At 51.1% G+C, this 12,350-nt stretch overlaps 1 long non-coding RNA gene across 2 annotated transcripts in view, besides 1 other annotated feature; it reads right to left on the reverse strand.

The window, feature by feature from the left end:
* Positions 1 to 70: a silencer, noted in NCBI's record as "silent region_20633". NCBI's record gives its function as "represses an Ori minimal core promoter by ATAC-STARR-seq in GM12878 lymphoblastoid cells {active_cell/tissue: GM12878}" and the evidence as "EXISTENCE:reporter gene assay evidence [ECO:0000049][PMID:35858748]".
* LOC124902318 (uncharacterized) overlaps positions 52 to 12,350 on the reverse strand; it is a 14,300-nt gene continuing 2,001 nt past the window's right edge. Inside the window, exons 1-3 of one of the 2 annotated variants that reach the window (XR_007061884.1) lie at positions 2,275 to 2,542; positions 1,818 to 1,883; positions 52 to 121 (exon numbers count right to left, since the gene is read on the reverse strand). This is a non-coding gene — a long non-coding RNA (uncharacterized LOC124902318). Of the gene's footprint in view, positions 122 to 1,817; positions 1,884 to 2,274; positions 2,543 to 12,350 lie in introns of those variants that run through there. The other variant, XR_007061885.1, reaches the window with a different exon arrangement.

Genomic DNA, 12,350 nt, shown 5'->3' on the forward strand with positions numbered 1-12,350 from the left:
AGACAGCGGACGCCCGGCCCACGCGACCCGGAGGGCGCGGCCTCCCGCGCAGCCTTCTCCGAGCCGCCGGCTCTTCAGCCTCGGGGGCGGCTGACCTCCAGAGCAGCCTGGTCCAAGGCGTCTGGAAACGGAACTCCAGTGAGGCCCATTAGGCTCCGCGGGAAAGCCGAGACCCGCTCAGGGAGGGACTGGGTACGCCGTGGTGGGCAGCGTGGCTCCCCTGCAGCCTGGAGCGAACGGGGCTAGGTCCTGCGTCCTGCTCCGCCGGTGTCCAGTCGCCCGTGAGGAGGCCTCACCCTGCCTCAAGGGCGACTCCTGCACCTGAGGAGCTGCACAGGCTCCTTTCTGGCTTGCTGGGTTCCGTTTTCTTTTCTTGCTTTTTTTTTTTTTTTTTTTGAGTCAGAGTTTTGCTCTGTCACCCAGGCTAGAGTGCAGTGGCACGATCTCGGCTCACTGCAGCCTCTGCCTCTCGGGTTCAAGCGACTCTCCTGCCTCAGCCTCCCGAGTAGCTGGGACTACAGGCACGCGCCACCATGTCCGGCTAATTTTTGTATTTTTAGTAGAAGTGAGGTTTTTCCATATTGGCCAGGATGGTCTCGAACTCCCAACCTGAGGTGATCGGCCCACCTCGGCCTCCCAAAGTGCTGGGATTACAGGCATGAGCCACCGTGCCCCAGCCTGCAAAGGGTGTACATGAGTGAGCCCAGACGTTCCATCTCTGGGTCCCCTGGTACTTGCCAGTACCCCAGACACCCTAGAGGACTGAAGGGGCTGATGAGTCCTGGCCTGCCTGAGACACACATTGGGGTTCAGGCTGGGCCTTGCTCAAAACATGCCTGTCCGACCGCGCGCGGTGGCTCATGCCTGTAATCCTAGCACTTTGGGAGGCCGAGGCGGGCAGATCACGAGGTCAGGAGCTGGAGACCATCCTGGCTAACACGGTGAAACCCCACCTCTACTAAAAATACAAAAAAAAAAGCCGGGCGTGGTGGCGGGTGCCTGTAGTCCCAGCTACTTGGGAGGCTGAGGCAAGAGAATGGCTTGAACCCGGGAGGCAGAGCTTGCAGTGAGCCGAGATCGTGCCACTGCACTCCAGGTTGGGCGACAGAGCGAGACTCCGTCTCAAAAAAAAAAAAAAAAGTACCTGCCCTACCAATCTCAACCTCATGGAGTTGCAAGGGTGTGATGAGATTATGAGCAACTGCTTTGTGAAAAGAAGTGGAGCTTGGTGGGTGCTCCCTAGGGTAGTTGAAAAGCACTGGTGTCATAGTCCAGGTTCCCCCAGAGGTTGACTTGAAATGGATTCGAGTCCAAATTTTGTCCGGGCCTGGTGGCTCATACCTGTAATCCCAGCACTTTGGGAGGCCGAGGCAAGTGGATCACCTGAGGTCAGGAGTTCAAGACCAGCTTGGCCAACAGGGTGAAATCCCGTTTCTACTAAAAATACAAAAATTAGCGGATGTGGTGGCACACACTTGTATTCCCAGCTACTTGGGAGGCTGAGGCAGGAACATCGCGTGAACCCAGGAGGCAGAGGTTGCAGTGAGCCAAGATTGTGCCACCACACTCCAGTCTGGGCAACAGAGTGAAACTCCGTCAAAAAAAAAAAAAAGTCCAAATTGTTAGCTTGAGAGAAGACCCCAGGAGACACCAGCAGGAGAGTAGGGGTGTGAGGCAGGGAAGGGGGTGCTACCAGTCCAGTTACTGTAGCAGGCGCTTGTGTAGGAACCATCCTCAGAGTCCCTCCCCGAGGGCCAGGGGAGCCAAGGCATTCACCCTTCACCCTGCTGCAAGGGGACCCAGCATTCACCTCTCACCTTGCAGTCATTGGTTGGAGGCTGTTCCTGGCAAGGTGACTTCTTGGCTCCAAAGCCGAGAAAGACCTGCAGGTGTTGACACAGCGCAGTGCTGCGGGCAGTGCCCAGCTGGCTTGGGAACTCATACCTGGTCCACCACAAGCCGGCTGCTTTATCTACACATTCTACCCAAGTATGAATGTGGCACCCCTGCCTCTGTGTCCTGCGAGGGTGGAATTATGTAACGCTGGGGCGGTGCTTCCTCTCACTGCAGCTTCCCTCTCCCAGGGGCAGGCACCTTAAAAAGAAGCCCTTGACTCCCCCATCCCTTTCCAGCCACTGCCTCATTTTCCTACTTCCCATCCCAGCAAGAGTTTTTAACAGGTTGTCTGTACTTGGCGTCTCCTCTTATCTCCTAGTTAATTCGTTTTCTATCACTTTATAACAACCAACCACAAAAGAGCACCCATTATCTCACGGTTCTGTGCATTAGAAGTGCAGGTGGGTTTGACTGGCTTCTCTGCTGCAGGTCTCAGGGCTGAAATCAGGGTGTCAGCTGCCTCAGCTCTTAGCAGGGGCCCTAGGGGAGACCCGGGCTACAGGCTCCTTCAGGTTGTTGACATTCATCACATGGTTGTATGAGGTCTCCGCTTGCTGGCTGCCGGCCCGGGGTTGTTCTCAGCTTCTAGAGGTCGCTCACATCTTCAAAACCAGCAAGACTTTCTTTTCTTTTTAGACAGAGTCTGGCTTCGTCATCCAGGCCGGAGTGCAGTGGTACAATCTCGGGTCGCTGCCACCTCCGCCTCCCGGGTTCAAGTGATTCTCCTGCCTCAGCTTCCCGAGTAGCTGGGACTACAGGTGCCCTCCACCATGCCCAGCTAATTTTTAAATTTTTAGTAGACATGGTTTCACCATGCCAGCCAGGCTAGTCTTGAACTCCCGGCTTCAAGTGATCCGCCCGCCTCAGCCTCCCAAAATGCTGGGATTACAGGTGTGAGCCATTGTGCCCGGCCAAAGCCAGCCTTTCTACTACTTCACGTCTTTGATCCTTTCTGTCCCATTTCTCCCACCTTCAGCTGGAGAAAGCTTTATGCCTTTAAGTGTTCCTGTGATTAGATTGGGTCCACCCAGATAAACAGGATAATCTCCCTATTTTAAGGTCACTAATTGGTAACCTACTTACATCTGCAAAGTCCCTTTTGTTATGTAACATAATATTACAGGCGCAGGCATAAGGGCGTGACACCTTTGGGGGGCATTCTGCCTACCGCCCAAGTCTCCTGACAGCCCACTCCAGCTGGGCTTTCACCCCTCCCACTGCTGAAACTGCTCCACACCAATGAACAAAATCAATGAAAGCCCCTGCTCATACTCGAGTGAGGGGGGCAGAACATACACGTAATGAGGAACCATACACCGCGTTGGCCAGTGAGAAGTGCAATGGGGAGAACAAGTCCATCACCATAAGGCAGTCAGAGGCCCTGCTGCAGGGGTGGGCAGAGCCGTCCTCTGAGAAAACAGCATTGGAACTTGCAGTGGAAGGAGACAGAGTGAGCCGTGTGGCTATACAGGGCAGAACATTCTTGGCAGAAGGAACGGCCTGTGCAAAGGCCCTAAGCTGCGACATGTCTGGCATGTTTGAAAATAGAGAGGTGGGGCTGGGTGTGGTGGCTCACTTTGGGAGGCCGGGGTGGGTGGATCACTTGAGGCCAGGAGTTCAACACCAACCTGGCCAACAGGGCAAAACCCTGTCTCTACTAAAAATACAAAAATTAGCCAGGTGTGGTGGCACATGCCTGTAATCCCAGCTACTCGGGAGGCTGAGGCAGGAGAATCGCTTGAACCCAGGAGGCAGAGGTTGCAGTGAGCTGAGATCACTCCACTGCACTCCAACCTGGGCAACAGGGCAAGACTCTGTCATGAAAGAAAATGGATGGCCTGAACCTGGGAGGTGGAGCTTGCAGTGAGCCTAGATCACGCCACTGCACTACAGCCTGGGCGACAGAGCAAGACTTCGTCTCGAAAGAAAATGGAGAGGTGGCCAATGAACTGGCCACTGAGAAGCAGCAGCACATGGGGCGGCGGGAGGGGCGGCAAGTACAGGATGAGCATTCAGATCTGAAATCTGAGATGCTGCAAAATCTGAACCTTGTAAGCACTGACATGACACTCAAAGGAAGTGCTCATTGGAGCATTTTGGATTTTGGATATGGAAAGCGCCATCAGGCAAGTATAATACAAAGAGTCCAAAATCCAAAATCTGAAACACTTCTAGTCCCGAGCATTTTGGATAAGGGACACTCGACCTCTCCTGGTAAGTGGTGATGTTTGGACCTGTGGTGGAGGGGTGTGTATGTCAGGATGGGCCTGGGTATGCTGCAGTAACAACCCCAAGTTCTCAGCGGCTTAGCCAAATAAAAATGTGTTACTTATGCTACATGTTAAGGTTACAAGGCAGTTGAATGTATAAGTAGAATATGTGAGTATAGAGTTCACAGAGATGTCCAGCCTGGGAATATAAGTTTGGCATCATGGCTGAGCGCGGTGGCTCACGCCTGTACTCCCAGCATTTTGGGAGACCGAGGCGGGCAGATCACGAGGTCAGGAGTTCAAGACCAGCTTGGCCAACATGGTGAAACCCTGTCTCTACTAAAAATACAAAAATTAGCCGGATGTGGTGGTGCGCACCTGTATTCCCAGCTACTCGGGAGGCTGAGGCAGGAGAATGACTTGAACCTGGGAGGCAGAGGTTGCAGTGAGCCAAGATCATGCCGTTGCGCTCCAGCCTGGGCAATAGAGTGAGACTCTGTCTCAAAAAAACAAAAAAAAAGTTTGGCATCATTAGCACATTTATTATATTTAAAGCTCTCTTAGAGACAGGTGCAGTGGCTCACACCTGTAATCCCTGCACTTTGGGAGGCTGAGGTTGGTGGATCGCTTGAGCCCAGGAGTTTGAGACCAGGCTGGGCAACATGGCAAGATGCTGTCTCTACAAAAAACAAAAATTAGCCAGGCATAGTGGCCCATGCCTGTAGTCACAGCTACTTGGGAGGCTGGGGTGGAAGGATCACCTGAGCCTGGGGATGTTGAGGATGCAGTGAGCTGTGATGGGGCCACTGCCCTCCAGCCTGGGTGACAGAGTGAGACCCTGAATTTTGGAGGGACACAAGCATTCAAACCATGGCAAAACTCATAAAACTGGATGAGATTACCATGAGGGAAAACGTGGATGTAGAGAGTGCAGCACTATTCACAAGAGCAAAGACATGGAATCAACCTAAATGCTGGCCAGCCCGGTGGCTCAGGCCTGTAATCCCAGCACTTTTGGAGGACGAGGCAGGCAGATCACCTGAGGTCAGGAGTTCGAGACCAGCCTGGCCAACATGGTGAAATCCCATCTCTACTAAAAATACAATTAGCTGGGTGTACTGGCAGTTGCCTGTAATCCCAGGTAGTTGGGAGGCTGAGACAGGAGAATCACTTGAATCCGGGAGGTGGAGGTTGCAGTGAGCCAAGATCATGCCACCACTGCAGTCTAGTCTGGGCTACAGAGTGAGACTCCATCTCAAACAAACAAACAAAAACCTAAATGCCCATCAGTGACAGATTGGATAAAGAAAATGTGGTACAGCCGGGCACAGTGGCTTACGCCTGTAATCCCAGCACTTTGGGCGGCTGAGGCGGGTGGAACACCTGGGGTCAGAAGTACAAGACCAGCCTGGCCAACATGGTGAAACCCCATCTCTACTAAAAATACAAAAATTAGCTGGGCGTGATGGTGTGTGCCTGTAATCCCAGCTACTTGAGAGGCTGAGGCAGGAGAATCGCTTGAGTCCAGGAGGTGGAGGTTGCAGTGAGCCGAGATTGCGCCATTGCACCCCAGCCTGGGCGACAGAGCGAGACTCAGTCTCAAAAAAAAAAAAAAAAAAAAAAAAAGCTGTGGTACATATACACCATGGAATACTATGCAGCTATAAAAAAATGAGAGCATGTCTTTTGTGGGAACATGGATGGAGCTGGAGGCGATCATCCTTAGCAAACTAACACAGGAACAGAAAACCAAATACCACATGTTCTCACTTACATGTGGGAGCTAAATGATGAGAGCTTATGAACACGAAGAAGAAAATAATACTGGGCTTAATGCCTGGATGATGAGATAATATGTACAACAAACCTGGTGACAGGTGTTTACCTATGTAACAAACCTCACATATCCCCAAACCTAAAGTAAAAGTTTAAAGTTAGGCCGGGTGTGGTGGCTCACACCTGTAATCCCAGCACTTTGGGAGGCCGAGGTGGGTGGATCACCTGAGGTCAGGAGTTCAAGACCAGTCTGGCCAACATGGCAGAAACCTGTTTGTAAACCTCTACTAAAAAAACAAAAATTAGGGCCAGGGCGGTGACTCACACCTGTAATCCCAGCACTTTGGGAGGCCGAGGAGGGCGGATCACCTGAGGTCAGGAGTTCGAGACCAGCTTGACCAACATGGAGACACCCCATCTCTACTAAAAATACAAAAATTAACCAGGTGTGCTGGCAGGCACCTGTAATCCCAGCTACTTGGGAGGCTGCAGCATGAGAATCCCTTGAACCCAGAAGTTGCAGTGAGCCAAGATCATGCCACTGCACTCCAGCCTGGGCGACAGAGGAAGATACTATATCCAAAAAAATAATAAAAGTTTACATTCAATAAATAATTTTTTTTTTTTTTTTTTTTTTTTTTGAGATGGAGTCTCGCTCTGTCGCCCAGGCTGGAGTGCAGTGGCGGGATCTCGGCTCACTGCAAGCTCCGCCTCCTGGGTTCACGCCATTCTCCTGCCTCAGCCTCCCAAGTAGCTGGGACTACAGGCGCCCGCCACTACGCCCGGCTAATTTTTTGTATTTTTAGTAGAGACGGGGTTTCACCGTTTTAGCCGGGATGGTCTCGATCTCCTGACCTCGTGATCCGCCCGCCTCGGCCTCCCAAAGTGCTGGGATTACAGGCGTGAGCCACCGCGCCCGGCCAAAATAAAATTTTTAAAAGGATATTTACATCAGTGTAGTATGTGAAGTAAACAAGAAAAAGATAAAACTCACTTTTTAAGTAAAAACAGTCATGTGCTTGAAGTATGTTGTAATCTTTATCAGAAAAGTATGGGAAGTTATTATTATTATTATTATTATTATTATTTTTTGAGACAGAGTCTTGCTGTTGCCTAGGCTGGAGTGCAGTGGTACGCTCTCTGCTCACTGCAAGCTCCGCCTCCTAGGTTCTCACCATTCTCCTGCCTCAGCCTCCGGAGTAGCTGGGACTACAGGTGCCCGCCACTAATTTTTTGTATTTTTAGTAGAGTCGGGGTTTCACCATGTTAGCCAGGATGGTCTTGATCTCCTGACCTCGTGATCCGCCCGCCTCAGCCTCCCAAAGTGCAGGGATTACAGGCATGAGCCACCGCGCCCGGCCGGGAAGTTAATTTTTAGTTTTTAAAAGTTCTATGGTATTTATTGAAGTTTATGTATTATGACTATAACAGCAAAAAATGCACATTACATTTCTTTAAAATGCTAGATTGAGTATCATTTAAAAAAAGAGAAGGGATACTTAATACTATCATACTAAGGGGGAAAGAGATTGGAAAGAAGAGGACTCAGTAGAAAACAAAGATGTGAAGTAGGAGGAAGGCCTGCAAGGCAGCCCCAGCTGCTGCTGGGTCTGGTAAAGTGAAGATTGGGGATGAATCAATGGATTTAGCAACACAGGGGACCCCCGTTACCTTGAGAAGTACAGTGCCAGTGGAGGGGTGAGGGAAGATGTCCAAGGGTGTCGGAAGGAATGAGGGACAGGAGTTGCAGGCTGAGATGGACGGCTCTTCTGCAGCATTTTGCTGAAAAGGAGCAGTGAAGGGAGCTGAGGCTGGAAGAGGGGGGAGGTCAGGAGCACATTCGTGGTGCAGGGGACATGGCACTGATGTTCACCCATGGGGACGATGGTGGAAAGGGATGAGGCATTGGCTGCAGAGGAGAGGGGATGACGAGCTGTGTCGGACAGGGCGGTGCACCTTGGCAGTAGCCAATGTGAAGGTTCTAGAAAGGCTAGTAGGTGTGTTGGTGGGAGTTTGGGGAAGTTCTTTTTTTTCTGGGGTGAAAGGGTCCCCCTCTGTCTCCCAGGCTTTAGTGCGGTGGTGCAAATACGGCTCACTGCAGCCTAGACCTCCTGGGGTCAAGCAATTCTCCTGCCTTGGCCTCCCAAAGCATTGGGATTAGAGGCGTATGACACTGTGCCGGGCCAAGAGAGTTTATTCAGATCATCTTTCTTTTGTTACTTTCACTTTCTCATAAATAACTGAAAGAAGTCAATTGGCCCTTTAAACTCTATGTCAGGAAAGTCAGATCACAGCATGCACTTTCTGTCCGCCACGTTCCACAGGCAATGGTCTTGCTGGAAGGTAAATAGTCTACACTTTCTCCAGCCTGCAATAGCAACTTTCTCATGACCCCTCCTGCTGCATGGTTCCAAAGTCAACGCCATATTTAAAAATTTTTGGGGCCAGGCGCAGTGTTTCACACCTGTTATCCCAGCACTTTGGGAGGCTGAGATGGGCAGATCACCTGAGGTCAGGTGTTCGAGACCAGCTTGACCCACATGGAGAAACCCCATCTCTACTAAAAAAAATACAAAATTGTCAGGGCATGGTGGCTCACGCCTGTAATCCCAGCACTTTGGGAGGCCGAGATGGGGGGATCACAAGGTCAAGAGATCGAGACCATCCTGACTGACATGGTAAAACCCCATCTCAACTAAAAATAAAAAAAAAAATTAGCTGGGCGTGGTGGCACATGCCTGCAGTCCCAGCTACTCAGGAGGCTGAGGCAGGAGAATTACTTGAACCCGGGAGGTAGAGGTTGCAGTGAGCTGAGATTGTGCCACTGCTCTCCAGCCTGGGTGACAAGAGCAAGACTATGTCTCAATAAATAAATAAATAAATAAATAAGCCGGGCATGGTGTTGCATGCCTGTAATCCCCGCTACTGGGGAGGCTGAGGCAGGAGAATCGCTTGAACCCGGGAGGCGGAGGTTGCAGTGTTGGCCTGGCGCAGTGGCTCATGCCTGTAATCTCAGCACTTTGGGAGGCTGGGGCAGGTGGATCACAAGGTCAGGAGTTTGAGACCAGCCTGGCCAATATGGTGAAATCCCGTCTCTACTAAAGGTACAAAAATTAGCTGGGCATGGTGGTGGGTGCCTGTAGTCCCAGCTACTCGGGAGGCTGAGGCGGGAGAATCTCTTGAACCTGGGAGGCAGAGGTTGCAGTGAGCTGAGAGTGCATCACTGCACTGCAGCCTGGGTGAGACAGTGAGACTCTGTCTCAAAATAAAAAAATAAAAAAAAAAAGAAGGCCGGTCACAGTGGCTCACACCTGTAATCCCAGCACTTTGGGAGGCTGAGGTGGGCAGATCACAAGATCAGGAGAGCGAGACCATCCTGGCTAACATGGTGAAACCCCATCTCTACTAAAAATACAAAAAATTAGCCAGGTGTGGTGGCAGGCGCCTGTAGTCCCAGCTACTTGGGAGGCTGGGGCAGGAGAATGGCGTGAACCCGGGAGGTGGAGCTTGCAGTGAGCAGAGATCATGCCACTGCACTCCAGCCTGGGCGACAGAGCGAGACTCCGTCTAAAAAAAAAAAAAAAAAAAAAAAAAATTATGGCAGTATCTCACTTCTGAGCACCAATTTCTGTTCCAATTATATCTATTGCTTCATAACAAACCACCCCAGGCCAGGCGCGGTGACTCACGCCTGTAATCCCAGCACTTTGGGAGGCTGAGGTGGGCGGATCACCTGAGGTCAGGAGTTCAAGACCAGCCTGGCCAACATGGCAAAACCCCGTCTCTACTAAAAATATGAAAATTAGCTGGGCATGGTCATGGGTGCCTGTAGTCCCAGCTACTGGAGAGGCTGAGGCAGGAGAATTGCTTGAACCCAGGAGGTGGAGATTGGAGTGAGCCGAGATCGCACCACTTCACTCCAGCCAGGGCGACAGAGTGAGACTGTCTCAAAAATAATAATAATAATAATAATAATAATAATAATAATAATAAACCACCCCAAAACTTAGTGGCTTTAAACAACTATGTATTTTCTCATGATTCTGTAGTTTAGGATGGGCTTAGCTGGTTGGTTCTGCTGTTGTTGGCTAGGGTGGTAGGTTGTGTCAATTGTCACCATCAAATTCTCCCCTCCACGTGAATGTGTGTTGCTCCTATGACTTTCTTTTTTTGTTTGTGTTGTTTGTTTTGAGATGGAGTCTCGCTCTGTCACTAGGCTGGAGTGCAGTGGCGCAATCTTGGTTCACTGCGACCTCCACCTCCCGGGTTCAAGCAATTCTCCTGCCTCAGCCTCCCGAGTAGCTGGGACTACAGGCACGTGCCACCACGCCCAGCTAATTTATATATATATATATATATATATATATATATATATATATATATATATATATTTTTTTTTTTTTTTTTTTTTTTTTTTTTTTTGAGATGGAGTCTTGCTCTGTCACCCAGGCTGGAGTGCAGTGGCGCGATCTCGGCTCACTGCCAGCTCCGCCTCCCGGGTTCACACCATTCTGCTGCCTCAGCCTCCCGAGTAGCTGGGACTACAGGCACCCGCCACCACGCCCGGCTAATTTTTTGTATTTTCAGTCGAGATGGGGTTTTACCATGTCAGCCAGGATGGTCTCGATCTCCTGACCTTGTGATCCACCCGCCTCGGCCTCCCAAAGTGCTGGGATTACAGGCGTGAGCCACCACACCCGGCCTAATTTTTGTATTTTTAATAGAGGTGAAGTTTCTCCATGTTGGCTAGGATGGTCTCGATCTCTTGACCTTGTGATCCACCCGCCTCAGCCTCCCAAAGTGCTGGGATTACAGATGTGAGCCACTACACCCAGCCTTGACTGTTTTTGTTTTGTTTGATTTTGAGATGAAGTCTCACTCTGTCACCCAGGCTGGAGTGCAGTGGCGTGATCTCAGCTCACTGCAACCTCCCCCGCCGAGCTCAAGTGATTCTCCTGCCACAGCCTCCTGAGTAGCTGGGATTACAGGCACGTGCCACCACGCCTGGCTAATTTTTGTATTTTTAGTAGAGATGAGGTTTCACCATGTTGGCCAGGCTGGTCTTGATCTCCTGATCTCAAGCGATCTGCCCGCCTCGGCCTCCCAAAGTGCTGGGATTACAGGCATGGACCACTGCGCCCAGCCTGTTTCATTGCAATTCTTCCAGTTAACGCAAGCTGTGGGCCAGCCTAGGTTCCAGGGGAAGCCCCCCGGTGGGAAGAGCAGCAGGGATGCAAAGGTGGGCGGGATCTTTGAGGAGGGACCACCACGCCCTAGGAAGGAGACTGCTGAGGTAGAGGAGGGTTTTGGAGGAGGAACCATGAGACTGACACGTGTTTACCACACTTTTCTTTTCCCTCCCTCCCTTCCTTTTTTTTTTTTTTTTTGAAATGTAGTTTCACTCTTGTCGCCCAGGCTGGAGTGCAATGGCCCAATCTTGGCTCACTGCAACCTCCACCTCCTGGGTTCAAGCGATTCTCCTATCTCAGCCTCCCGAGTAGCTGGGATTACGGGCGTGTGCCACCACCATGCCCGGCTGATTTTTTTTGTATTATTAGTAGAGATGGGATTTCACCATGTTGACCAGGCTGGTCTTGAACTCCTGACCTCAGGTGATCTGCCCACCTCGGCCTCCCAATGTACTGGGATTACAGGCAGAGCCATTGCGCCCGGCCCACACTTTTCCTTTTCTGTATGTTATTATGCTTTGACATCTTGGGGGCTTTACTAGTCAGGGAGATGCTGCCCCTTCCAGGGCTGGCTAATCCCCAGAGCTAGCAAACAACTTTATAAACACCAATCCAGAGCCCATATCCCCAGTCTCTTCCTGATCTGACTCTCACACCCCAAGCCAGCATTTCTCCTGCCCTGCATCCCCCAGGGACAGATACCAGACGGCTAGAGCCCCCTGCTGTGACCTAGAGTCTGCTGACATGATTCAAGCTATCTAATCCTAAACTTGCTCACACTTACCTACCCTGCCTTGTCCATTTTCACCCTGAGGAAAACACAAAAAAGGCTCTGGGTCATGCTCTCTCCTGGCTCCTCCTGACCCTGGTACTTCCCCTTCTGGCCCTGCGTGGCATGGCAGGGCCCCTCCTCCTGAGAACCACGAGTACTAAATCCTTCCTTTGTGGCACTTGTCTTCTAGTCTGTCACTTTACTATACCTGATTCAAACAAAACCCAGGTACTTTTAGGATATAGGGCAGGAGGCTGGAAGGATTGCCTGTGTGGATTCAGAAGCACTGAGTTTCCACACTTGGAGATGGAGGGAATGACAGTGAGTTAGGAGCTAAAATCACCAAGAAATGAAGATGCCGACCAGAGCGAAGGTGGTGCTGGTGATTCTGAGACCAGGAAGCTTACACATGGTAGCTCCCAGGGTGGAGAATGGCCTGGTAGTGTTAGGAAGGAGCCAGGAGGGCCCCAACCCCACCTACAGACCCAGAGGTAGAGGGATCCTGCG

This window comes from Homo sapiens, chromosome 9 (genome assembly GCF_000001405.40).
Source record: "Homo sapiens chromosome 9, GRCh38.p14 Primary Assembly".
Taxonomy (NCBI): Eukaryota; Metazoa; Chordata; class Mammalia; order Primates; family Hominidae; genus Homo; species Homo sapiens.